General features: G+C 44.8%; 2 protein-coding genes across 16 annotated transcripts in view, besides 2 other annotated features; one reads left to right on the top strand and one right to left on the bottom strand.

Annotated features, from left to right (window-relative positions):
* Positions 1-18,807, top strand: part of ATXN2 (ataxin 2) — a 147,460-nt gene extending 128,653 nt beyond the window's left edge. For 3 of the 5 annotated variants that reach the window (NR_132311.2, NM_002973.4, NM_001372574.1), the window contains 7 exons: positions 279-463; positions 781-913; positions 6,306-6,359; positions 13,662-13,807; positions 14,765-14,992; positions 17,176-17,344; positions 18,181-18,807. Coding sequence is in view for 4 of the 5 variants with exons in the window: in NM_002973.4 (NP_002964.4) it covers positions 279-463; positions 781-913; positions 6,306-6,359; positions 13,662-13,807; positions 14,765-14,992; positions 17,176-17,344; positions 18,181-18,209 (944 nt within the window). In the remaining variant the exon portion in view is untranslated. Of the gene's footprint in view, positions 1-278; positions 464-780; positions 914-6,305; positions 6,360-13,661; positions 13,808-14,764; positions 14,993-15,901; positions 15,977-17,175; positions 17,345-18,180 lie in introns of all 5 variants that reach the window. The other 2 variants (NM_001310121.1, NM_001310123.1) reach the window with 2 other exon arrangements.
* Positions 19,398-26,142, bottom strand: part of SH2B3 (SH2B adaptor protein 3) — a 46,894-nt gene continuing 40,149 nt past the window's right edge. For 6 of the 11 annotated variants that reach the window (XM_047428025.1, XM_047428026.1, XM_005253818.5 and 3 more), the window contains 6 exons: positions 24,167-24,268; positions 23,988-24,079; positions 23,802-23,896; positions 23,477-23,691; positions 23,194-23,365; positions 19,398-23,038 (listed from right to left, as the gene is read on the bottom strand). In XM_047428025.1, the coding sequence (XP_047283981.1) occupies positions 22,719-23,038; positions 23,194-23,365; positions 23,477-23,691; positions 23,802-23,896; positions 23,988-24,079; positions 24,167-24,268 (996 nt within the window). In that variant the 3' untranslated portion in view covers positions 19,398-22,718. Of the gene's footprint in view, positions 23,039-23,193; positions 23,366-23,476; positions 23,692-23,801; positions 23,900-23,986; positions 24,080-24,166; positions 24,269-24,804; positions 25,994-26,142 lie in introns of those variants that run through there. The other 5 variants (XM_011537720.4, XM_011537719.3, XM_005253819.5 and 2 more) reach the window with 3 other exon arrangements.
* Positions 22,427-22,496: an enhancer, noted in NCBI's record as "active region_7037". NCBI's record gives its function as "activates an Ori minimal core promoter by ATAC-STARR-seq in GM12878 lymphoblastoid cells {active_cell/tissue: GM12878}" and the evidence as "EXISTENCE:reporter gene assay evidence [ECO:0000049][PMID:35858748]".
* Positions 25,617-25,886: an enhancer, noted in NCBI's record as "active region_7036". NCBI's record gives its function as "activates an Ori minimal core promoter by ATAC-STARR-seq in GM12878 lymphoblastoid cells {active_cell/tissue: GM12878}" and the evidence as "EXISTENCE:reporter gene assay evidence [ECO:0000049][PMID:35858748]".

Genomic DNA, 26,142 nt, shown 5'->3' with positions numbered 1-26,142 from the left:
CCATGAGAGAAAGTCCCTCTGAGGAAGTTGCTTTCAAGCTGACACCTGAAGGATGAAGCAGAATTATCCCAGCTGGGATTTGGGAACTGGTGTTTGAGGCTGAGGACTAGCATGCATGATAGGAAAATAACCCAGAGTGGCAGAAGTGGGAGTGGTATGAGATGGCATCAGAGACGCAGATTCAGGGTCAAATCATTCAGAGCCTCCTAGACCATGTGAACACATGTATTATGCTGTGGAGATACTGTTTAATAGGCAGTCTGCTTTTTTTTCTGCAGTACCAAATATGCCCCAACAGCGGCAAGACCAGCATCATCAGAGTGCCATGATGCACCCAGCGTCAGCAGCGGGCCCACCGATTGCAGCCACCCCACCAGCTTACTCCACGCAATATGTTGCCTACAGTCCTCAGCAGTTCCCAAATCAGCCCCTTGTTCAGCATGTGCCACATTATCAGTCTCAGGTAAGGCTGGTAAGGCCTAACTCTTAATTTTTGTACCATATAAAAAAACTTTTAATATGGTAAAGGGATTTTCCTTTATAATTTTTGCTTTTGTGTGATGGTAGGGTAGATAGCTAAGGACTTGGGGACCCTTTTCAATATATATTCGAAGGTTACTGATGATTGTAAGAGGTTCAGAGGAAACAGCCAAGAAAGATTTGAGAGTTTACAGCTGTTTCTGGAAATCTGGAAACCATGGAGTTAAAAATCTTAACTAAAGTCTGCTTGGCTCTATTTGCAGTGTTAATGTGCTTTCTTTATTTTTTGTTTGAACACAGCATCCTCATGTCTATAGTCCTGTAATACAGGGTAATGCTAGAATGATGGCACCACCAACACACGCCCAGCCTGGTTTAGTATCTTCTTCAGCAACTCAGTACGGGGCTCATGAGCAGACGCATGCGATGTATGGTAGGAAGCACTTTGTTTGTCTCTTCCAGTGTGTGTGACTCTTCTTAATTTAAGTTTCTGAAAACATACTCTATCTAAGAATAACCTGACCTTTTATGACATTGAGGGTCAAGAATCTGAAGGAAAAGATGAACCCATTTCTTTGCCTGACTTGCTTTATAACTTTTGGCAAATAGTTTCTACTTCTGTACCTGGTCTTCAGATCTCTTTCCTGCTTTAACTAAAATGTAATGATGTATATAATGGCAAAGCATCTTTGTGGAGAAAGGTACCTTTCTCCTCTTCCTCATCAATATTATGCTTTGGTATATCCTGCCTACGACATGCAAGAGAATTTTATAATAATAAAAGCATAAAGGTGTTCTCCAGCATGAAAACATTTTGCTTCACTACTTGATCTGAGGGTCACTGGCATTACATATTTTTTTTGCTGTTTGTTATAATGATAATACTATGTTTCTACATCATGCTGTATTTTAATGGTTGAATATTATGTCATATTAGATATATTTTAGACATGAGTCACACTTTAAATATAACCAATGTGAACAGAATGCTGAAATGAAAATGAGAAGTATTTTATGTAAAACTAAGCAGTATTTATATGTGAGAATAATAAGCAAAAAAACCCATCTTCGTTTTGTGACTAAACAGAGAAATTTGTGTAGATCAACTTAGCAGCTGTCTAAAGTACCAAAATAATAGATTTTTCACTGTTGATAATTTAAAATAAAATGTCCATTTGTATATCTTATGATACAGAATTAATGGATTGCTTCAAATGTTTTTCAGAATATGTTTTTAAATAGTACTGATTTCATTAAGATGTTTTGTTCTGAATATTTCTGAGAACTACCGTAGTGTCGTTTAGTTTTCCTATTTGCGTTTTTGGTTGTTTGGAGTAGGGGATAATTTTGGTTTATTCATACAGTTGAAAAGTGTACTGCTATGAGAATGAGATTATGGTTACATGTAACTACATGGGCATTTCATTTTTAAAGCCTCTTTGAACTTTTTGAAATACTAAGAATATAAAATTTTTATTTTTTAAGTTTAGATGTCCTGAACGAGTATGTTTAGGCAAAATTGAGTTATTTAAGAATTTATAGGCTGGGCGCAGTGGCTCACGCCTGTAATCCCAGCACTTTGGGAGGCCAAGGCTGGCGGATCATGAGGTCAGGAGATCGAGACCAGCCTGGCCAACATGGTGAAACCCCATCTCTACTAAAAATCCAAAAAATTGGCCGGGTGTGGTGGCATGTGCCTGTAGTCCCGGCTACTTCGGAGGCTGAGGCAACAGAATTGCTTGAACCCGGGAGGCAGAGGTTGCAGTGAGCCGAGATCGCGCCACTACACTCTAGCCTGAGCGACAGAGTGAGACTCCATCTCCAAAAAAAAAAAAAAAAAAAAAGAATTTACAGATTTCTGGCAAACCTTCTTCTTGAGACATTACTACTTTTCATACCACCTCTGTCCTTTTTGAAGAATAAAAGTTTTAACATTCCGTAGGTTAATGAGAATAGGACTTGGGCAGCAGCAATCATCCTTCCTGTCACCTGTAACCCACAGCTTATGCTTTCTTCCTGGAGGTTCTTGTCTGCCACAAAGGCTCACTGCTGATAGGAATTTGTATATGATCAAAGGTGTTTAGTTTTATAAAACAGTTAAGTCCAGTCTTAATTTTCCACATTATCACTTTCAATTTTGTATTGTGGATTACGCATTTTAAATAAAAAATTGTGTGATTGCTACATTTTGGAAAACATTTTTTTCAAGAGGCCCATCCGTAATTTAATTGTAAAAGATACTGACAAACTAACTTGGTTTATTATTTTGGTTATGACCCCGTCATTTGACTTGTCTTTAGTTGTCTTAACGGGGACTGAATATGCGTGCAAAGGCACGATTGATTTATCATGCTGGCTTTTATGCAACTTGTATATATTTTAACAATTTTCCTGTTTGCTAAAGGCTTAGGTTAAAAGTTCATTATGATTGTTTATACATTTCTGGTGAATACATCATGATTTAACAAGTGGAAAGAACATCTCTTTCCTTCCATTTTCTGGCATACTCCCCTTGGAATCAGATCTGAAACTTTTAAGCTAAAATTTCCATTGCATTTGGAGAGTAGTTATTTGTGTATGCATGCTTTTGAGACATTGTAGCAATAATACTGTAATGTTGAGCCGAATCTTTCTCCTCATTGTGTTCATTCACTGCCAACATCTGGCTTCATCTTTTGGATGAATGTTCATTGGTTTTGAAACAGCCTATAGGGTAAATACTGTGTTTGAGGTACAGATGATTTTCATAACTACTTCCTAGAACATGTCCATTTGAAGAGCAGTGGGGCCTTAGACCCCAAAGTCCATTTATGTGTGGGCAAATAGGAAATGTTGCAAACAAAACAAAGCACTAGATCTAATGTCCAGTGAAATCTGGAATGAACTAGTCATTAGAGCCGGTTCTTTCATGCCAGGAAAAAGTTACTCAGCCAAATCTGAACTACTCTCCTGCAGTTTACACAGGTGGTATTTAATTGCTGTCTGTATGGAGGCAGGCTAGGAGCAAGGCTGTGGACTTGTTGTGATTGTCACTAGTTAATCAAGATTCCCTTTGTGGTGCTTAAGACCCTAAAAAGGACACTAGGAGCTGGGCATGGTGGCTGACACCTGTAATCCAAGAACTTGGGGAGGCTGAAGTGGAGGATCGCTTAGCCCAGGTGTTCAAGACCAGTCTAGGCAAGATGGCGAGATCCCATCTCTACCAAAAAAAAAAAAAAAAAAAAAAAAAAAAAGCCCAGTCATGGTGGCACATGCCTGTAGTCCCACCTACACAGGAAGCTGAGATGGGAGGATCACTTGAGTCCAGGACTTTGAGGCTACAGTGAGCTATCATGGCACCACTGTAATCCAGCCTGGGTGACAGAGCAAGACCCTGTCTCTATTTAAAAAAAAGAAAACATAAGAAAGAATTGTTTTGTTCTATGCCATCATAAGCCATAATTTAATCTGCTTAAGCATGTTCTTCATTAAATCTGCAGTGATTTATTTGAATTATTAGACTTTCAAAGCCTTATTATATCAAATATAAACAAAATTTGAAGTACATTCTTATAAACTACAACAAACTTACATAGAAGTGTTAATTTTATACTCATCTTCCCTGAACAATTTATATTTTATAAATATATTAAATATATTGTCATAAATTTTCTCAAAGGAACCAAATACTTTGAGTATGAATTGTGCTTTTCTTTTTAAGCTACATCATATCTAGGTTTTTAAAACATTTAATGCAAACAGAAGAACATGCACCCAGATGTTGGTGACAATTTTATGTCACCTTTTCTCATTCATTAATTGTTATAGCCATAGCCAAAGGCATTGAAAACATAGGACCACTAATGACTGCAAAATGAAATCCTGATTATTGTTTTTAAATTTTTAGTATGTTTAATACACATATGCTAACATTACTGAACAGTTAAATGATAAAATAGGATAATTATTTTATTCTAAAAAAGTATTGACCTTGACCTCTTTCTAGCTATCTTAGAAAGGGCTTTTGTCAAAAACCTTATCTCTTTGATGTCTCTTTTTTTGAGATGGAGTCTCTCCCTGTCGCCCAGGCTGGAGTGCAGTGGCGTGATCTCAGCTCACTGCACGCTCCGCCTCCTGCGTTCACGCCATTCTCCTACCTCAGCCTCCCGAGTAGCTAGGACTACAGGCGCCCGCCACCATGCCCGGCTAATTTTTTGTATTTTGTTTAGTAGAGATGGGGTTTCACTGTGTTAGCCAGGATGGTCTTGATCTCCTGACCTCGTGATCCGCCTGCCTCAGCCTCCCAAAGTGCTGGGATTACAGGCGTGAGCCACTGTGCCCAGCCTCTTTTTTTTTTTTTATTTTTTATTTATTTTTTATTTTTTTTTTAATTTTTGAGAAGGAGTCTCCCTCTGCCACCCAGGCTGGAGTGCAGTGGCGCGATCTCAGCTCCCTGCAAACTCCGCCTCCTGGGTTCAAGCAGTTCTCCTGCCTCAGCCTCCTGAGTAGCTGGGACTACAGGTGCCCGCCACCACACCTGGCTAATTTTTGTGTTTTTAGTAGAGACAGGGTTTCACCATGTTGGTCAGGCTGGTCTTGAATTCCCGACCTCAGGTGATCCACCCACCTCAGCCTCCCAAAGTGCTGGGATTACAGGCGTGAGCCACTGCCCCGGCCTCTTTGATGTCTCTTAATCTAACTTCCATCATTGCCTCTACCCCATCCCTTCTAAGAAGTTACTTTAATTTTTTTTCCTCTCACATCTACTCTTTTTTTTTTTTTTTTTTTTTTTTTGAGGTAGTCTCACTCTGTCACCCATTCTGAAGTGCAGCGGTGCGATCTCAGCTCACTGCAACATCTGCCTCCCAGGTTCAAGCGGTTTTTCTGCCTCAGCCTCCCGAGTAGGTGGGACTACAGGTGTGCGCCACCACGACCGGCCAATTTTTGTATTTTTAGTAGAGACGGGGTTTCACCGTCTTGGCCAGGCTGATCTCGAACTTCTGACCTTGTGATTTGTCTGCCTAGGCCTCCCAAAGTGCTGGGATTACAGATGTGAGCCACCACGCCCAGCCTCACATCTACTCTTCTAATCCATCTAATTTTGTTTTATGGTGATGCTTTTACCTTTCAGAAACAGTAATAATACAACTTTTCCGACTAACTAGAGCCATTAGGAAGAATTAGATCCAGAATCCTTTTTTGATTTGTTTTTGGTAGTTTAATGCAGATAAGTAAGAAAATATAGTTAAGTTAAAAAAAAAAAAAATGAAAAGCATCCATAATCCCTCCACCTGACAACTGCCTTTTAACATTTTGATGTGTATCCTTCCAGGTGTATTTAAATACACTCAAATACCCTACCCCTTTATGTAGACATGTTTTAATAAGAAATAATATTCATGTTTATATTCTTGCTATGATCCTAAATTTTTGGATCCATTACTAGATAATCTTTCAGGATAATGACATTTCCATTAGTAATGTTTTTGCAAAATTGTGTGTCTATTGAATTAAACTTGTAAAATAGTTTTATTTTGGTACATGATTTATATCAAGGTTGTTCAGTAGAATGCCATGTTGGTGTTTTTATTAGATAATGATTTTATTCCTTTTACTTTTAAGCAAGTCAGCATGACAACTTGACACCTAAGTACAGAAGAACAGTGTCTTCCGGTTTAGTCCTTTCTTTTAAAATTCTGTAGCAGTGTTTAAAGTGCTTGTCATCTCTTATGAAAATGAATTATGCATGAATACAAAAAGAAATTACTAATATGTCAACCTTTCCAGAAAATTTGGAAAATGCACACCTCAAAAGGCTAATTTACCTTTCTATTTCCCAAATTCAGCATGTCCCAAATTACCATACAACAAGGAGACAAGCCCTTCTTTCTACTTTGCCAGTGAGTTGGGTTTTTTATACTAATTTTTAATTGTACAGTAAAACACTTTTTAAAGGATACATGTTAAGGGAGTAGACTTGTTGAACAATATTTTCCTTGTGCCAGTCAAATTATTGAAAGTACTTATATATATAAATAATTCAGTTTTTAAAATGGAAATACCCAATTTAAGAAGGCTGGAGTTAATGAAAAATGGAGTTGTTTCAGAAATCAATTTTTGCATACCAAGCAAATGTGACTGGGAAATGCCTAATATTTTCCTTGTTAGAGAAACTTCCTAAACAGCTTTATACACACACACACACACACACACACACACACACACAAACACACACACCCAAGCCACAAGCTTGGTATAAATTTAAAATGTTTATTTATACACACACACACACACACACACACACACACACACACCCCAAGCCACAAGCTTGGTATAAACTTAAAATGTTTATTTATATTCTGATAAGATGAAATTTATGCCTACCAGGATTTTTAATTGAATAGGATTGATGAAATACTAAGGGAAAAACTTTTCAGTCCTGTGCATGGCTAAAGGTTTAAAATACTCAGGAAGGGCCAGGCACGGTGGCTCACACCTGTAATCCCAGTGCTTTGGGAGGCTGAGGCGGGTGGATCATCTGAGGTCAGCAGTTCAAGACCAGCCTAGCCAACATGGTAAAACTCCATCTCTACTAAAAAATACAAAAATCAGCCATGCATGCTGGCATGCGCCTATAATCTCAGCTACTAGGGAGGCTGAGACAGGAGAATTGCTTGAACTTGGGAGGCAGAGGTTGCAGTGAGCCGAAGTCGTGCCACTCCACTCCAGCCTGGGTGGCAGAGCGAAATTCTGTCTCAAAAAATAAAATATTCAGGAAGCAGACCCCTCAGGATATCTTGAGCTTAAGCAAGAGATCATGACCTCTCAGGTCATTATCTTGGACAGCACAGGTCCCCTCTCCCCACCTGGCAAAAAGTACAGAAATAGTTGCTCCTTCATGGAGAAAGTCTGGGCAGAGCTTTCTTCTGGAAATGAACTTTTAAGGTACATTTTTCCTATTTGTAGGGCAATTTGTAAAAATAAGGGCCGGACGTGGTGGCTCACGCCTGTAATCCCAGTACTTTGGGAGGCCGAGGTGGGTGGATTGCTTGAGGCCAGGAGTTCGAGAACAGCCTGGCCAACATGGTGAAACCCTATCTCTACCAAAGCATGGTGGCACGCACCTGTAGTCCCAGCTACTTGGGAGGCGGAGGCACAAGAGTTCCATGAACCCTGGAGGTGGAGGTTGCAGTGAGCTGAGATTGTACCACTGCACTCAGGCCTGGGCAACAGAGAGAGACTCTGTCTCAAAATAAAAAATAAAAATAAGGCTAGTCTTGGACTTTGGTATTTAAATAGGAAGGAGTACTAATATTTGTAGAAATCCTTTAGAAATTTGTGCCATTAATATTGTCACCTTGTATGAAATGTTGTGTTCTAGAGGATATTAAGGATTCAAATTTTATGTTAGGCACATTTTGAGTTATTTTGGGGTGACTCAATGTCTGACTCTACTAAATGCCATATTAGCATTTAAAATGCATTTGACCTTAAATCTTTGTTAATTATGCCATGACTTGGTATCCAAAAATAAGCTGATACATACATACATACATATATGTGTGTGTGTGTGTGTGTGTGTGTATATATATATATATGTATGTGTGTATATATAATTTATTTGGTGCTAGGAAATGTTAAATTTAATCCTTTAATAGATGCTCTTTAAAAAGGAGTCTTGCTGTATGTATATACTATTAAAGGGGAAACTATGTCTGTGATTGTAGTGTGTAAAAGATAGTAGGTGATTTTATTATGTACTCAATTTGAGGTCTCAAATGTAGTTATCCTCACCATCTTACTGTCTCTGTTAGTAGTTTGGTGTTGTTTTCCTGGTAAGTAGCTAAGGTCCTTAATCATTAACACCTAAGCCTTAATTGCCTTAGCACAACTTCCCCTAAAAGGGAGTATCAGTACTTTTTAAAAGAAACTAACAGTTGGGCTGCTAATTTAATCTGCTGCTTCATTTCCCCCTGTTCTAAGCCATTTTATGATGGTTTGGTCAAGTTGCCTTTTATTCCCCTTTTAGAGTTTTCAACTTTCCTTCACTTCCCTTTTTCTGAATTTAACATCAGATTTACAAGTTGGAAGATTTTGTTTTGTTTTATAAGTTTTGCAATGCTGGTGATCTCTTATGACTTGTGCATCCAAAGTCAAAATGACAAAACCTAGTTACAAATTAAACACACAGCTTTCTGTACTTAATTTGCTTCAGTGAGATCACAGCTGAGGAAACTAGTTCTGGAATGTGGTTAGTGTTATTAAGGATTTTTGACTGATCATATGTTTAGAATCTTAAATATTTATGTCAAGGAACACTGAGTGGGAAACTTCTGGACTAGGTCTGGACCAAAGAAGCATATGTCTTTGATTATCTTTAATCTAAAAGATTTTATGAAGACTAAAGTTTTATAAATAGAAGTTTAACTGATGAATAAATCAGTATTACAAATAAAATTAACTTTATTTTTAACCTCTCTGGGATCTTTAGCCAGAATGAGCATATATAACAAAAGCAGTGAAATAATATGTGTGGGTCAGAACCCACTGCCCTTCCCACTCCACTCTCCTTTTCCCTGATTCTCCTGTGTTTTTTCCTTCTTTACCTTATCTTGGTTCCTTTTTTTTTTTTTTTCTTTTGAGATGGAGTCTCACTCTGTCGTCCAGGCTGGAGTGCAGTGGTGCGATCTCGGCTCACTGCAACCTCCGCCTCCTAGGTTCAAGCAATTCTCTGCCTCAGCTTCCAGAGTAGCTGGGATTACAGGCGCCTGCTGCCACACCCAGCTAATTTTTTTTGTATTTTTAGTAGAGACAGGGTTTCACCATCTTGGCCAGGCTGGTCTTGAACTCCTGACCTCGTGATCACCTACCTCGGCCCCTGGTTCCTTTTTTGTCTCTCTTGTCTTCCAAGCTATTTTTTTCCTTGGCTTTTAAATTTTCTTCCTACCCTGCTTTGTGTCACTGTCACTTAACTGGCCTATCAAGGAACCGAACTGTATTTTTGTTACTAGTATTGATTTAAAGTATAAGTTTCACATTTCTCCCAATTTATTATTATTATTTATTTATTTATTTGTTTATTTTATTTTTTGAGACGGAGTTTCGCTCTTGTTGCCCAAGCTGGAGTGCAATGGTGTGATGTCGGTTCACTGCAACCTCCACCTCCCGGGTTCAAGCTATTCTCCTTCCCCACTCTCCCTAGTAGCTGTGATTACAGGTGCCTGCCACCACGCCCAGCTAATTTTTGTATTTTTAGTAGAGACAGGGTTTCGCCGTGTTGGCCAAGCTGGTCTCGAACTCCTAACCTCAGGTGATCCGCCCGCCTCGGCCTCCCAAAATGCTGGGATTACAAGCGTGAGCCACCGTGCCCGGCTCCATTTCTCCCAATTTCAAATTCAAGGAGGAAAAGAATTCCTGATTAAGGTACTTCTTTCAGATCTTTTGAGCTAGAACAAAAAAACAAAGGGAAATATTTCTAATTAACTCTTTTTAAATTTTGTTTACAACGTATGATACATATTTTACACATCCTTTGTGGTTTTTGTTCGTCTTGTTTTTAATCAATGCCTTGCAAGTTTACCGGTATTTAGGTAGGGAAAGGATTTTGTTTTTGTTTTTTTAAACAAAGCCTATGTACATTCACTCAGCTTGGGTATTTGTGCTATGCATGCAAATTAGCTATAGATTAGAAAACCGTATTATAGTCTTTAAATACTGGTAAACTTAAATTGCAGAGATGCCTTTTAAAAATGCATAGTAAAAATATTTCATCTTTACTTTTCTCTTCAAATGATTTTAAGATTTTTACATTTTTCCAGTTGATGAATAACTTAAATTATGAGATTTCATGGGCATAATTATTTTCTATATTTATTGTTACTTTTTAATATTCTTAATACTTTGCTTAGAAGGTATTTAAAAGTGAAATTTCAAACTTTTTAGTACAAAATTTCTTGAATAAATAAAGTTACAAAAAAAAAACAAAAACCTCTGAGATTCCGTACTGTATCTTTATGAACCTCCATGAACAGAATTTGGGATTTGGGAATTGCTTTTCCTTAGACAGATTTAGATTGTTACAAATGACATTTTTAAGAGGCTGGGGTGGCGGTAGGGGTTAGTGCTAATGGTTTAACAGTAGGGGACCATGGACAACTGTAGACATCACTATCCAGTAGAACATTTTGTGGCTGGGCGCGGTGGCTCACGCCTGTAGTCCCAGCACTTTGGGAGGCCAAGACAAGTGGATCACCTGAGGTCAGGAGTTCAAGACCAGCCAGACCAACATGGTGAAACCCTGTCTCTACTAAAAATACAAAAAAGTTAGCCAGGCGCGCCTGTAGTCCTAGCTACTCAGGAGGCTGACACAGGAGAATCGCTTGAACCCGGGAGGCAGAGGTTGCGGTGAGCTGATATCACGCCACTGCACTCCACCCTGGGCAACAGAGCGAGACTCCGTCTCAAAACAACAACAAAACTGCACTGTCCACCGTATTAGCTACTTAGCTACATGTGGCTTTTTTATTATTCAAAAATAAATTTTTAGGCCGGGTGCAGTTGCTCACACCTGTAATCCCAACACTTTGGGAGGCCGAGATGGACGGATCACTTGAGGCCAGGAGTTTGAGACCAGCCTGGCCAACATGGTGAAACCCCGTCTCTACTAAAAATACAAAAATTAGCCAGGTAATCCCAGCTACTCAGAGGCTGAAGCAGGAGTATCACTTTAACCCAGGAGGCGGAGGCTGCAGTGAGCCGAGATCGCTCCACTGCACTCCAGCCTGGGTGACAGCAAGACTGGGTCTCAAAAATAAACAAACATGGCCGGGCGCAGTGGCTCATGCCTGTAATCCCAGCACTTTGGGAGGCCGAGGCGGATGGATCACTTGAGGCCAGTAGTTCGAGACCAGCCTGGCCAACATGGTGAAACCCGTCTCTACTAAAAATACAAAAATCAGCCAGGCATGGTGATGCTTGCCTATAGTTCCAGCTACTCGGCAGGCTGAGGCAGGAGAATCGCTTGAACCCGGGAGGCGGAGGTTGCAGTGAGCCGAGATGGTGCCCCTGCACTCCAGCCTGGGCAACAGAGCGAGACTCTGTCAAAAATTAAACAAATAAATACATTTTTAAAATGAACGTAAGATTTTTACAAGTACAACAAACTCAGGTTCGAAATTTACATCAAATCTTTTAGACCAAGTCAGTGCCTATACAACTTGGAGGAGCTGGAAGTAAACTTAATGAGTATGATGATGATGGAGGGCCTGTTAATAAGCCACCAAGTTAGAAAAAAAGGACTGTCTTATAGACTTATGGGACTGTGAAGCTCAGGAAGGCTTCATCGTTTGTACATCATTTGTTCTAGCTCCCAGAAGACGTTCACTACTCTTAAAAACATTCAGAGACTATGTTGCCACAGTTTTCTTGTTAAAATATTCTGGCATATGTTAATTCCTACAGTCTGGAAAATTTTCCCAGTGTATAAACAAAGCTGCTGTATCCAGTCTAAACTGGATATGAAGGAATATTAATGCCAGCTGTGGCATTGGCAGTGGATGCACAGGTGATCCTAGAACTGGCTCTTTGCCTTGCCCTTTCCCCTGCTAAGAGATAGCTTTGCAGCTGGAGACGTAACTGTTAGGGCTGGAGAGTTGGTGGCCCTTAGCCCTACAACACCTAGGATTATAGAACTGCTCCATGTGCCTAGCCTAACCCTCTGCACACCATTTACGTGGAATATACCCAGAGCCGTCTATGCTGGTGACTCGGCAGCCTTGCCTACCAGACTGCTGGAACTAGGGTGCCTCTTCCCAAAGCTGTGCTTGCTTCTCTCACCAATCAGTCCTGCATATGTCTGTGTTTGCTAACACGTTATATGAAGAATGTGGGGAACTATTTTGGAATCATTTCTGTGTATGGGCTTATTATCTTGAGGGATTTTAGGATTTGTTTCTCAAGAGAGGGCTGGGAACTATACCTTGCTAGAGTTGTCTTGAGAACGCTCTATTCTCAGCTCATTGCCTCGTGGAGGTTAGTTTTTTATCATCGGTGTGCTGTCCATAGTCACTGGAAGCAGTGAACACATCCTACTCTGCTTCTGATTCTCAACTTACTGTTTTTGAAGCACATGAACAGGCCAGGCACGGTGGCTCACGTCTGTAATCCCAGCACTTTGGGAGGCTGAAGTGGGCGGATCATTTGAGGTCAGGAGTTTGAGATCAGCCTGGCCAGCATGGCGAAACCCCATCTCTACTAAAAATACAAAAATTAGCTGGGCGTGGTGGCACATGCCTGTAATCTCAGCTACTCGGGAGGCTGAGGCAGGAGAATTGCTTGAACCTGGGAGGCAGAGGTTGCAGTGAGCCTGGGCAACAGAGTGAGTGAGACTTATATCTCAAAAAAAAACAAAAAACAAAAAACTGAAAGACATGAAGAAATGGTTTTTGTACCAAGGTTTGGCCCACGCTGAGATTCACAAAGAACTGGCTTTCAGTTCTTATCTTTATTTTGATTTAAACTGGCCCATCATGTTGTCCTTTGAAGTTAGTCTAGTAAATTTCTTTCCAAAGGGCTGGGGCACTCAGAAGGGAGTTTACTTTTCTATATTTATTTCATAAAGCAAAGATGGGAGATCCTCCATTAGGGCTTGGGAAAGTAAACTGAGTGGCAGAAGGGCTCCTGTGATTAGCTGAGAGAGACTGTGGTCCTTCGGCCCTGATGATAGATCCCTGGCCTTGCCACATACCATACACAGTGCCCGCACCCCCATCCCCCACCACACCCAATATAGTCTGTGCCCTCAGGACATTGCTCCAGGGCAGTAGCATGGTGAGGTTAGCCTGATGATGGCCTTGAGCTAAAGAGTGTGCACCTAAAATGCACTTGTTTGAGTAGTTTCTGCCTATGCCTTCAAGTTGCCTTTTTGGGAAAACCTAGTGACCGTTAAGAGTAAATGCAAACTAATTTGATTTTAATATCATATGTAGAGCTGTATTATATGAACCAAATGCTAGTCTGTTAAGCAATAGCTACACTTATTTTTTCAAGACAATGGATGGTTTAAATGGAGTCATCTATAGAAATTGGTAGTGGCGTGAGTTATGCATTGTAACCATCAAGAAAGTTCAGTTGATGAAGTGTAGAGGAGCGATGGAGGTTGTCAGACATCGGTTGTGTACATGCTCCTTTTTCTTTCACTTTAGTTTCCACGGGCTCCCTTGCTCAGCAGTATGCGCACCCTAACGCTACCCTGCACCCACATACTCCACACCCTCAGCCTTCAGCTACCCCCACTGGACAGCAGCAAAGCCAACATGGTGGAAGTCATCCTGCACCCAGTCCTGTTCAGGTAAGGGCAACTCAGAGGTCTGCATGGAGTGGCTTCTTTATCCTAGTATCTGAGTGCTTTCTTCAGGTGCCAGGTATCGCATCGTCAGAACACATGGCATGTCCACCCTCGTGAAGATGGATACAGCTGTGCCCCTGGGGTGGTGGTTTTAAGAATCACATTTAAAGGCTGGGCGCAGTGGCTCACGCCTGTAATCCCACCACTTTGGGAGGCCGAGGCGGGTGGATCACGAGGTCAGGAGATTGAGACCATCCTGGCGAACACTGTGAAACTCCGTCTCTAATAAAAATACAAAAAAATTAGCCGGGCGTGGTGGTGGGCGCCTGTAGTCCCAGCTTCTCGGGAGGCTGAGGAAGGAGAATGGCGTGAACCCGGGAGGCGGAGCTTGCAGTGAGCAGAGATCGCGCCACTGCACTCCAGCTTGGACAACAGCGAGACTCTGTCTCAAAAAAATAAAAAATTAAAAAAAATCACATTTAAGATACATGTTGATAATAAGGTGATTGGATAAGCTCTGGAAACTTGCAGTAATGAAAAATCAAATTTAACATAAAGTTCATAAGGCAAATTCCTATTTGCTTGGGACTTTTTAATTTCTAAGGTTTATGTGATGAGGTTATTTTCCTATGAGCTTCTTGAATTATGTTTGCTAATGGAGGCAGTTAAAGATGTCTTTGATATCTATCAGTTCCCTGGGGCAGTAGTCTTTTTTGACTTTAGTATGTATGCTCAGAAGTTTCTAACTGCCAGACTGAGAATCAGGCTTCTGTACCCTAGAAAGGAGTTGTCCAGATGGGAGGCACCTCCAGCCTTGCTCTTACCACCCTGTACATTCTCCTGTACTTTCCAGTGACCCTCATCATAGGCCCAAGTGTGCAAAGCTTAGCTTTGTGGGTATCCCTTGGCTGCTTTTCATTAAAGAAGTTTTCCTCTCAATTCTTTCCTGTCGCTTTGCAGCACCATCAGCACCAGGCCGCCCAGGCTCTCCATCTGGCCAGTCCACAGCAGCAGTCAGCCATTTACCACGCGGGGCTTGCGCCAACTCCACCCTCCATGACACCTGCCTCCAACACGCAGTCGCCACAGAATAGTTTCCCAGCAGCACAACAGACTGTCTTTACGATCCATCCTTCTCACGTTCAGCCGGCGTATACCAACCCACCCCACATGGCCCACGTACCTCAGGTAATACCAGCTTTAGCCAACTTTCTGTGAAGGCCAAGTAGAATGTGAAGGTTATCAGTAAGCAGCTAGAGGCTCTCCCAGCTAGGAAACCCTGTGTGTCATGCCATTTGCCTGTCTCCCTTTCCCTCTCAAATACACGTGATCTGGCCCTAAGGGAATGTTTGTGTGGTTTTGTCATGGGATCAGTGAAGGTGCTGATTGGTCAGTCCTTTAGTTTTCCAACTGAGACCTTAAAAATATCTTTGACTCTGGAATGCAACCCAGTCCTTCTTTCCTTTCTGTGTCTGCTTTGCTATGTCTATATAGCCTCACTACTATATATATGTGTACATATATATTCCCCTACACACTTACCTTGGAAGCCAGGCAGGGATGATGGCCTTCACAGAGTCTCAGCTCTCCGAAGTGACTACCGGGGCCTGTCAACTTGATTGTTACTCACATGAGTTCCAGACACATCTCTCCAATTGTTTTCCCTGGTTATCCATATATCTGCTTTGACCATAAGTTGTACTCTTGAGAGGGCTTGGCCTTGGACATTGGTGCAGTGTAACTAGAAGCTGGAAGCACCCAGGTGGTCCCATTTTTCTTTAAGAGCAGCCCTGGAAGCACTTTGGAGCTCACCTCCAGTGTAAGCTGCTACAGGTGAAAGGTGTGCTTGCCATCTCAGTGGTTGCTGTCTGCATCAGCTGCTGACAAAGGTCCCTGCACTCCAGGGCCCAGGGGATTGTCTTAATGAGGAGAAGGAGCTGCACTGAAGTTGGGCTCTAACGCTGGCCTTGAGGCCCTCCCTGGGGCTGTTACGGGTGAATTGGCTGTATTAGATGTCTCTGCTACTTTCATAACAGAACTCTCTGAGGCGGGTCTAAGTGAGACCTGCCACAATGAATTCCATTTCCTGTTAAATAGTGCGCCAGTGAGGCTCTGGCAAGGTGTGGGCTAGAGATGCGACTCAGTTGGATCTATCTCTCAGAAGGCTACCTTGTAAGTAGAGTTCCACAGCTCTGGGAAGTTTGGGCGTCCTCACCCTGCAAAGTTTAGGTTCTGTGGTGTAGCGCACTGCAGTTGATTTGCTTTTTGATAGTGGGGAGGGAAGCCGGTTTGGTCCGTGTGGGCCAGCGTGGTTTGGTGGAGTCAGCTTCATAAGAGCTGGGGTCCTGTAGGTGTCTACCAGAGGCTGGTGGCTAAGTAGGCATGTGAACTTACATGTAAGTCAGGGATCCCTAAAACCTCACTCTGTTTTTGTGCTGAAAGGGCAAAAAGGTTAACACAGGGAAGCTCAAATTTGCCATGTGCCCGTTTGAATATGTGAGAGTAAAAACGGCATTTCATCCAAGGCTTATCGTAGTCTAGAACAGTGCACAGTGTGGGAAAAAGGAAACAAGGGCTCTTCCTGGCCCTGCCAACCCCCTGCAGAGCTGGAATCCAGCTGTTTGGGCTGACTAAAATCACCTTTCCAACTTGACAGTGAGTGAGACCAGGTTGAACTTGGTACAGAGACGCTGGGCTGGCCCAGATGACTTCAGGTTACTCCTTTCCATCTCACTGGAGCCATTAAAAACTCCAACTCCTCCTCCTCCTCCTGCTCCATCAGCATATCTCTGAGAGAGTCACGGGGGCCTAAGAGTCTCTTTTCACTGCCTGGTGAGCAGACCAGAAGCAGAGGGAGAGAGGCAAATGAACAGAGGTCCAAGTAATTCACATACTTGACTGTGACAGTCTCTGCTTATTAATGTAATCTGTTTTCCTATTTGAAAGGGATGTTATCTGCAAAACTACCTCAGGCCCCACATGGCAGCCTGATTCTGAAGCATCATTGAATCTTGTATGATATTAAGTTGAGAAAGCTGCCCTTGGATCCAGTGTCTAATCTTTGTGAAGATCTTACCCCATACATAGAATACAATGATCAGAAATGTCAAGGGTTAGGACAGCACAGCCCTGACTTCTACCCAGGCTCACTTGTTGCCTGCTCCCTGACCCTTGCAGGATCTGCCCAAAGGTGAAGCGCGTCTTCAGGTCAATAGATAATCTACTAGAGATTGTCCCCAGAGAACAGAACTGGGCCCTGAGGCCCACCGTTGCCCTTTCCTGAGAGTCCCAGCCCAGTGAAAGGAACACAGTTGACATGTTGTTGAAGCCGGAGATGTTGCCTGTATGCGTAAAAGAGCTCTCTGTTTCAGGCTCATGTACAGTCAGGAATGGTTCCTTCTCATCCAACTGCCCATGCGCCAATGATGCTAATGACGACACAGCCACCCGGCGGTCCCCAGGCCGCCCTCGCTCAAAGTGCACTACAGCCCATTCCAGTCTCGACAACAGCGCATTTCCCCTATATGACGCACCCTTCAGGTGAGGCGTGTGTGTGCAGGGGCCGCCGGGGCACCCCAAAGCATTCTGCTCGCACAGGTGGAATGGCAGGCAGGGCCAGTGCTTCAAGCCCCGCATTTGAGAACTAGCAAGACCCGTCCAGGAGTGTGCACAGGAGGGACTGTGACGATCAGTTCAGCATCAGGGCCTGAGGCTTCCGGGAGCCGAGTCTGTGTGTGTTCTGATGGTATACAGGATTTGGCTTGATGAGAAGCAGCAGCAGCAGCAACAGCAGCCTGATGCATGCCTAGGACTCAGTTGGCCTTCCTTGTTATGACAGGCTGGACAGGGCAGTGTTTTCCTTCCTGAGTCCCAAAAGTCTGACATGTGGGGGGTTATTACCATGGCAGAGTTTGATTGTAGCTCTGGAGAAGATACTGCTGAGAAAGCGCTGTGGATGGACTGGCTTTGAGTGTAGCGTTAGCCCCAGCCCCTGAACAGGGGAGAGCGCCCTGTGATTGTGCTCTACTACTTGATGGCTGCCATGGCGATACTTCACAGTCTGACCTGTTATTCTGAAAGCAATACTGGTGCTTGGCTAATATTTGGGGAGGGGGTTTGTTAAGGCCTTTTTTTCTACCCCATGAACAAGTCTTCTGGGAGTTTTATCTGAAGTGGTTTTACGTCTGACTGGTTTGTTTCTACCCACCCACCCAACCCTCCCCACTTTGGTGCAGATGGGAGGGGGAAAAGCGAATTCAATTTTGAGTTTTGTTCAGCTAGCACGAGGATAGTTTACAATCATGTGCTGCAGAGACACTAGGCTGATGTGTGGTGTTGCCAGTTTTCTGTTTCAATGTTCGCTTTTCTTTTTACAGTACAAGCCCACCACCAACAGCAGTTGTAAGGCTGCCCTGGAGGAACCGAAAGGCCAAATTCCCTCCTCCCTTCTACTGCTTCTACCAACTGGAAGCACAGAAAACTAGAATTTCATTTATTTTGTTTTTAAAATATATATGTTGATTTCTTGTAACATCCAATAGGAATGCTAACAGTTCACTTGCAGTGGAAGATACTTGGACCGAGTAGAGGCATTTAGGAACTTGGGGGCTATTCCATAATTCCATATGCTGTTTCAGAGTCCCGCAGGTACCCCAGCTCTGCTTGCCGAAACTGGAAGTTATTTATTTTTTAATAACCCTTGAAAGTCATGAACACATCAGCTAGCAAAAGAAGTAACAAGAGTGATTCTTGCTGCTATTACTGCTAAAAAAAAAAAAAAAAAAAAATCAAGACTTGGAACGCCCTTTTACTAAACTTGACAAAGTTTCAGTAAATTCTTACCGTCAAACTGACGGATTATTATTTATAAATCAAGTTTGATGAGGTGATCACTGTCTACAGTGGTTCAACTTTTAAGTTAAGGGAAAAACTTTTACTTTGTAGATAATATAAAATAAAAACTTAAAAAAAATTTAAAAAATAAAAAAAGTTTTAAAAACTGATCAAGTTAGTGTGTGTCTGTATAAGCTACTTCTTTGTAGGATACTTAATATCAAAGCAGGTGTGCTAAGGGTGCATTTTGAATATCCCGGAAGGTAGCTGTGAAATGATTTTTCTTCTTCACCCTTAGTTCTGGTTCAAGGTATCTCTAGAAAAAGACAAGACTGAGCTATTCTCTTTGGTGGATTAGAGATCTGCTTCAGGAGGAGGAAGGTTGGCCAGAGTTGGGCAGCACTGAAATTCCACATCCTCGGGCTGACACCGATTCTGTAAGCTTCCTTTTTAATATCTCCTGAACCAAAATGAGTGTCATTAGCTGGAAGTTCCCAATTCGGGCATTTTTCTACTTTACCAGTAGGGGGCAGGAGACACTCAGAAAAAAATTGCAATAAAGAAATCCAGAGGGCATGAAGGCTGAAAAGATACAAAGATGTACAAAGCTGCTTATTGACATGGATGGACTCATAAGCATTTGTTAGTATTCCCAGATTGCAACGGGGAGGACAAAGGGAAGAGCGAGTATTTGGGCAGGGCAAGGATTTTGTAGAGACACCATGGTCTTAATAGAGCCTTTAAATATTATGACAGCAAATCAAGATTCTGAAAACTTTTTAATTCACATATAGCAATTTGTACATTATAGCAAAATTTGCATTATTCAAGAATAAGTTACTTGTACAGTACATAAAACAATACATAAAAATTTGCCAAATACCTTCTGCCTATAATGATACAAGATGAATCCACTTTATGTTATCACAATGTGCTGTATATTCTAACCAAACACAGGATGTCAGATGTGTCCTTGTTAATATACTCGCAAGTTCCTCTAGCTTGTGGGAGATGTTAGAGCTAACACATTTGCAGTAAGGGACTTAGTCCTGAATAGAAAGCATGAAGGAATCTCAGGCAACCCTCAGGGAAGAGTCCAAGGCCTTGACTTTAGGTTAAGAAACTGTTATGTAAAAATAGTGTTCTCTGGCCCAAGATTTTAATGATTGCTATTCCTTTTTCCTACGGTCCAGAAATGATCAAAGGCAGAAGATTTATACCAGATAAAGCCATATGGATTGCTGGTCTAAAATTCAAGGCAGGTTAGTTGACTTAATTCTTTGGTGCTGGTGACTGTTAGTTTGTAAAAGTTCAATAAGTCAGATGAAGGAAGGGATGGTGCCGGGAGCTGTCAAGCTGTACTGGTGGGGTCTGTAATTAGAGCTAACTGGAGGGATCATGATGTCTACTGTCCAGTTTGGTGTTGAGCCATGGCTCTCGGTAGAAGTTGCCGGCTGGGGCCTGGTCAGGACTGGAAGGAGAGTGGTGGGATGTGCTGTGCCTATGGTGGGCTAGCTGCAGCCAGTGGGGTGCCTGCCCCACACTGCTGCCCACCCCTTCATCAGCTGATTCTGCTCCCACATAAAGAAAGGTGTTGGCTTAGTGTCACTTCTTCCTAGAGCCATGGGAGTTTTCTGTCAGCATGTTTTTGAGCTGTCCTGGTAACTTGGACGGGAAGCAGTCTGGAGGTGGGTGCCTTCCAAATCTCTGCCACAGAATCTGAACTTGCACTTTGCAGCCTGTTAGTCAGAGCTGCTAAGTTTGCTCTACCTGGTGTGCCTCTTGGCACCACCTGAGAGATGTATGTAGAGAGGCTGCTAAGAAATGAGTGCCCCTGGCATGAAGACGTCATATCCCAGATGTTTAACTTCTGGCTGGAGGGAGGGAACTTAATTTGGTTCATTATCTACTGGGTACCTTTCCTGTGCGGAGGGGAGGACCAGTGACTTTCCATAATAAGCTTTCTCCTTTAAAAAAACTTCAGACTCTTACTTACTCTTTTGGTTCACACTAATTAGCATTCATTTTCCAGAGAAAGCTGCTTGACTTTGAGGAAATAAAGACAGGTGTCCTTAAAAATGGACTGCAAATCTGGATCAGTGTCAGGTCTGCTTTAGGGTCCATGAAATCACCCAAGAGTGTTGGTACTAAAAGTGGTGTAGGCTGGGCGCGGTGGCTCGCGCCTGTAATCCCAGCACTTTGGGAGGCCAAGGCGGGTGGATCACCTGAGGTCAGACATTCGAGACCAGCCTGGCCAACATGGTGAAACCCTGTCTCTACTAAAAATACAAAATTAGCCAGGCATGGTGGCTGGTGCTTGTAATCCCAGCTACTTGAGAGGTCGAGGCAGAATCGCTTGAACCAGGAAGGTGGAGGTTGCAGTGAGCCAAGATTGCACCACTGCACTCCAGCCCGGTTGACAAGAGAAACTCCATCTCAAAAAAAAAAAAAAGAAAAGTGCATAGGGGTTTGTTCCCCCACCCTCTGAAAGACCCCAAGGAAATTCTAGAAGCAAAAATTTGACCTCTTGGAGCACAGAGACTAAGTATAAGTGGAAGAAGCAGACCTAACCCTCCTCCCAGGCAGTCAGTCCTATGAGTTTTAGGCTGAGGTTTCATTTTAGCCTCTGATCGATGTATCTGTAAAGCTGATCTAAACTCCCAGTTTCCTAGAAGCCACTGCTGTGAGCCTGGGGGTTGTACTGAATGGCTCTGCTGGCACCCAAGAGCAGCTGACTCCACTGTCACTGCCCCCGTTTCTGAGCCTCCAGACAGGTTCTGGGAGGAGCCAGCCCCCTATGAATTGTATCACTTGTATAGATAGAGATTTGACTTCAGGACCTCCCTGGATGGTGGAGATTGTGTGTGCCCATGTGTGCAAGGAGATAGATAGATTCTCAATCCAGTGAAGCAGTAGCCAGCTAGAACAGAACACTGATTGTGGGCTATTAAAGGAGTTTCTCATTAGTTATGGCACCAGATTCCCAGCTTCCATTTTGGCTCAAAAAAGGAGCCTAAAACCCACTTGTGGGATAATTTAATAAGCCATTAGATGCTTGGAGGGCACCAAGCCAGCCTTGTTGCTGAAGGATTTACTAGAAAGGGCCTAGGAGTCCTTCTTCCCTTTTTGCTTGCTCTTCCCCTAGCCCCAGTTAATTTAACTATCACTGTAAAGCTGCTGTAAACCAGAATCCAGTTTTTTATTCGTAAGGCACCAGGATAGAACTGTTCTTGCCACCCTCCTATTTCAGTAATTGCCTGAATTTCCCTGAAAGGGTGACATACTTCACTTCTTGACATTTAGGAAGGACAGTGGCCACTCAGTGGCAGGTGACTGTCCCGAGGATGCAGTAGACAAGCCAGCATGCTGGCTCAGACTGTAAATTAGGTAGGGTTTGCATAGCTGTTTCTGACTACAAAAATAGCATGGGTGTTAGTTGAAACAGTGCACTGAAATAAGCAGTGGTTAAGTTTTGAACCTGAATCCTTTAAAGAAATTAGTCTGAGGTAAAATGTTTTAAATCATTTTTGACCTTCAGCTTGTGCCTCTGACAGAGCTTTTGTCCTAAAGCTGAGAGTAGAAGCAGGATTAGATGTGGTCATCTGTGGTGTGGACACAGCAGACCTGCCATGTGGACTGACGGTAGATGGGAGAACCGCTTGTTAGTGTTCTGGGCTTCCTGATGATCCCCCCCTCCTCCCCGTAGAAAGTCTGTCATCCGCTGTGACAGTGTCAGTGAAAAAGAGAACAAGTTTCCACTGCCAGCTCTGGCCCTCACCCCAACTCCTTTCTCTAAGAGTAACGGGGACTGGGCATAGGGACCCCGGGCAGGAGCTAGCGGCATCCTCTAACAAGAACTACATCTGTAAACAATAAGGAGAAAGCCAGGTGGATAGATGAAACCTACAGGAGGGCCCTTCAACAGGCCTAATAGAAGGGTCACTTCCAAACTGGCACGAGCAGTTAACAGTGTCCCTTAAATCTTTCTCTGGAAGGAAGGAAAGATCAATTACATTCACAAGTTCACACTTCTGCCTGTGCTCCTCAAGGGCAGCTGTTGAGGCCTGGAATTCCTCACTGGTCAGAGAGGTGTGTACTGATTGTCTATGGCCCGCAGGTGGCTCCGGGAGGATGAGTCCATTTCGTAGTCCGAGTCCCGGGCTCGATTCACAGGCTCATGCTCCAGGTGCTGCAGGCTGTTGGCCAGTTCTTCGGGCGAAGGCACCAGGTGGAAGATCTGCTCGGGGGGTGAGGATCGCCCTGGGAGACCCTCTGGGCTGAGCCCCCGGGGACAGCCAGAAGAACTAAGGTGGGGAAGGCCCAACTCTGAACCCCAGTGAGGAAGGGACTCTGAATCCCAGTGAGGAAGGGAGAAAGGGAAGAGGACCGTGTTGCAGGAACCTAGGACAAGTGACCAAGAGAGACCACACCATCAGTCTTGAGGCAAGTGCTGACAGGACACAGAACAAGATACCTGTACCCCTGGGTCTGCAGCAAGCCTCTACCCTCTACCCAGTGTCAGCCACCCCCTTCAGCAAAGGGCAGTAGGGTCAGACCTGGTGGTTGGGAGACGACTACCACGTAGCTGGAGAGCCGGACATCACAGGCGGCGCCGCACTCGAGTGGGATGGGCGAGCGCTGGAAGTGGTGGAGCATGTCCACGACCGAGGGAAAGTGGAGGTGCTGCACACGGCACTGGCCCCGCTCTGTCAGCGACAGGCGCAGGTGCTGTGGGAGGAGAGGATGGTGGGCTCGGGCTGTCCCTCTAGGACCCTGAACTCCAGTGGAGAGGGGTGGCACGGTCCTGCCTGCCCCACCCCACCCCACCCCACCCCATACCTTGGCTATCCCCTGAAAGTTGAAAGTGAGCACGTATTCCCCACGCCGCGTCTCGCTCTGCCGCACCAGGAACACTCCATGAGCATCAGGGCCCTGCAGCTGAACCAGCTGAGCTGCTTTCACTCTGGAGATGGGGCCGTGGAACCAGGGGTAGCAGGACAGGAAATGGTCCGTCTTCTGGCAGGCCGGGTCCAGCAGCCCCCCAGGAGAAGCACCTGTTAGATAAGATGGGTGATGGTGGTCGCAGGGGGCTACCTTATGTCCTGGGCTGAGTCTGGGTTCCAGCGTACCCAGAAGACAATGGCCTAGCTATTGGTTTACCCACCTTGGTTAAGGGAATCTGTGCTGCCCCTTGGGGAGCTGGACGTGCTAGGCTCTAGGGCTGAGGGAATATGCATCTCTGCTTCTGTGCTCTCCAGCCTGCTGGAGAAGAGGCTGAGGTTAAGGATCTGGGCAGGTCAGGGGTGGTAGCAGCAAAGGTGGTGCCAGGGACGAGGGCCCAGGACCTCACCCTCGGCCTGTGCACTCCGAGAGCTCAGCCATCCATGAATTCAGCTGCTGCTCGTCTCCCACCTCAAAGATGATGTCTGTCCGGTCCTTCACCTGGCAGGGAGGAAGGGAACAGGGTTGGGTCTGCTGTATGTGTATGTATTTGTATTGCCCCAGGGTGTGAAAAGCCTTGTCACTCACCTTCAGCACAAAGGTGTAAAGGTTGTCAGGCATCTCAAGCCGTGTGCACCACCGGACCTCCTGGATGCTGGAGCAAGCTGCTTGTAGCTTGGGCCTTGAACTCTACGAGACCAAGTTGGGGTACTCAAGGCTTGTTCCTGATGCTCTTTCTTCCAGCCAGGCCTGAGTTTGTCTATAGTCTCCCCAGGAGTCCCCCTTTTAGAGAGAGTATCCATGGTGTTGCTGGGCAGGCTCTGAGCCTGTAGTGAGGTCCAGGGTGCCTTCCCCTAGCCTCCTGAACACCATTCACACTGAGATCCCAAGAAGCATGTGCTGGCAGAAGGCCAGCCCTCCCAGCCCATTGGACCTGGACTTGGAGACATTCCCACTCTGCCATGTGTCTGACATCCGTTTCTCTTCCCACTGGTGAGCAAACAGCTCCCTGCCCAGCCAGGTGATAGCAGCTGCTGACGGTCTCATCACACCAAGCCCAAAGGGGCAGAGCCTAGCATGGCTAGCCTAAGTTATAGCCACTGTAAAACCACAAAATCTTGGCCCTGGACCTTCCCAGGACACCCGGCACATAGGGCTGCAGGGTGGATAGGAGTTAGCCACTGTTCCTTTGCCAGCAGGAAACCTGCTCCCAGGTCTCAACTGACCCTGCAGATGCTTCCTGTGCTGGGGCACTCTGCAGCCAAGGAGCCAGCTGCTTCCGGTTGGGAATCTGCTCAGGAGGGGGTTTGCCCCTCCCCTTCCTCTTGTGATAAGACTGAAAAGATGGCCGAAAGAAGAAAAGGGGAGAAAGAGATGAGATAAGGAATGGACAGAAGTGGCCCCACTGGGCCCCCTCCATTCAGGTGTTCCTGGAAAATACTACAACCCCTAACAAACTGGGAGCAGGGGGATGGAAAGCAGAGGCAGCCCAAAGGATGTTCTAGCAACTGTGGCTTCAGGTGATCTGACCTCCACCTCAGCCCAAAAGGGCATACCTTGGACTGGAGCTGCTAGTGCTGTTGAATTGACCCCCAAAACCAGATGCTTAACCTTGCTTTACACACAGAGCTGCCAGGTACCTCTGTCGGAAGGATCATGACCCAGTGGCCTGGCCACCTCCTTTATCCCCCTTCCCCACCTGCAGGAGAGTCAATGAACAGTGAGGTAAGAGGGCAGCCTGGCAGGAGCAGGATGGCCACCTGGGCCCTTCCAGCAGGTCTCCTGGGAGCTCCCGGGCCTGCTCTGGTTGGCGGACACAACAGGCTGGGGGAGAGTAATGACTGCAGGAATGACCAACACTGGCCACAGCTCACTGCGGCCTCTCACTAGAAAGCTGCATGACTAGAAAATTCCAGCCTGAAGTGACCAGCACCAGCCAGGGCATTTTCACCTCCTACTCCCAGAGGTCCAGCAGCCAGGATGAGGCAGGCAGAGTGAGGCCTCACATGGCATCCACACGGGCACTGGACACAGCGCAGTGTGCAGGGAGTGGGGCCTCTGCGCTCTTGCCCATTTTTACAGCCAGCCAGCCCTGCAGAGCCTTCATTTCCTGTCTGCAAGATGGGTAAGGTGCGAGTGGCCACTTCCTTCTGCTACTTTTCCAGTTGGCCCTGCCTGGCCCCCACCCTTCCCCCTAGCTGCAGGCCTTAAGGATCACTGGGAGGATATAGGCCAGGCCTGGAGGGGAACGGGCCTAGTCTCCCTTTCAGTTCCGCTCCAGGCCTAGTCCCCAGTGTCAGTGCTGAGATTAACCAGCAGAGCTGCCGGTTTCACTCTGACTCTGGCCCCTGCAAGCCAGCTCCACCCCCAGCAGCTGAAGAACTGCTGAGCAGGCAGGCAGTGGTGAAAAGAGGATTCCCCTCCTCACCCACAGCCAGCCTGGCTGCCACCTGCCTGCTGGCTGAGCACAACCCAGGGGTTCTTCCCCAACTCCCCACAGCAGCCCTTGAGAGCCGCCCAGGCCTAGAGCCACAATCTCAACCCAAGCCTGCCAAGTATCAGAG

This window comes from Homo sapiens, chromosome 12 (genome assembly GCF_000001405.40).
Source record: "Homo sapiens chromosome 12, GRCh38.p14 Primary Assembly".
Lineage (NCBI taxonomy): Eukaryota > Metazoa > Chordata > Mammalia > Primates > Hominidae > Homo > Homo sapiens.
Note: the sequence above shows the minus strand (reverse complement) of the source record. Positions and strands in the feature narration are given on the sequence as shown.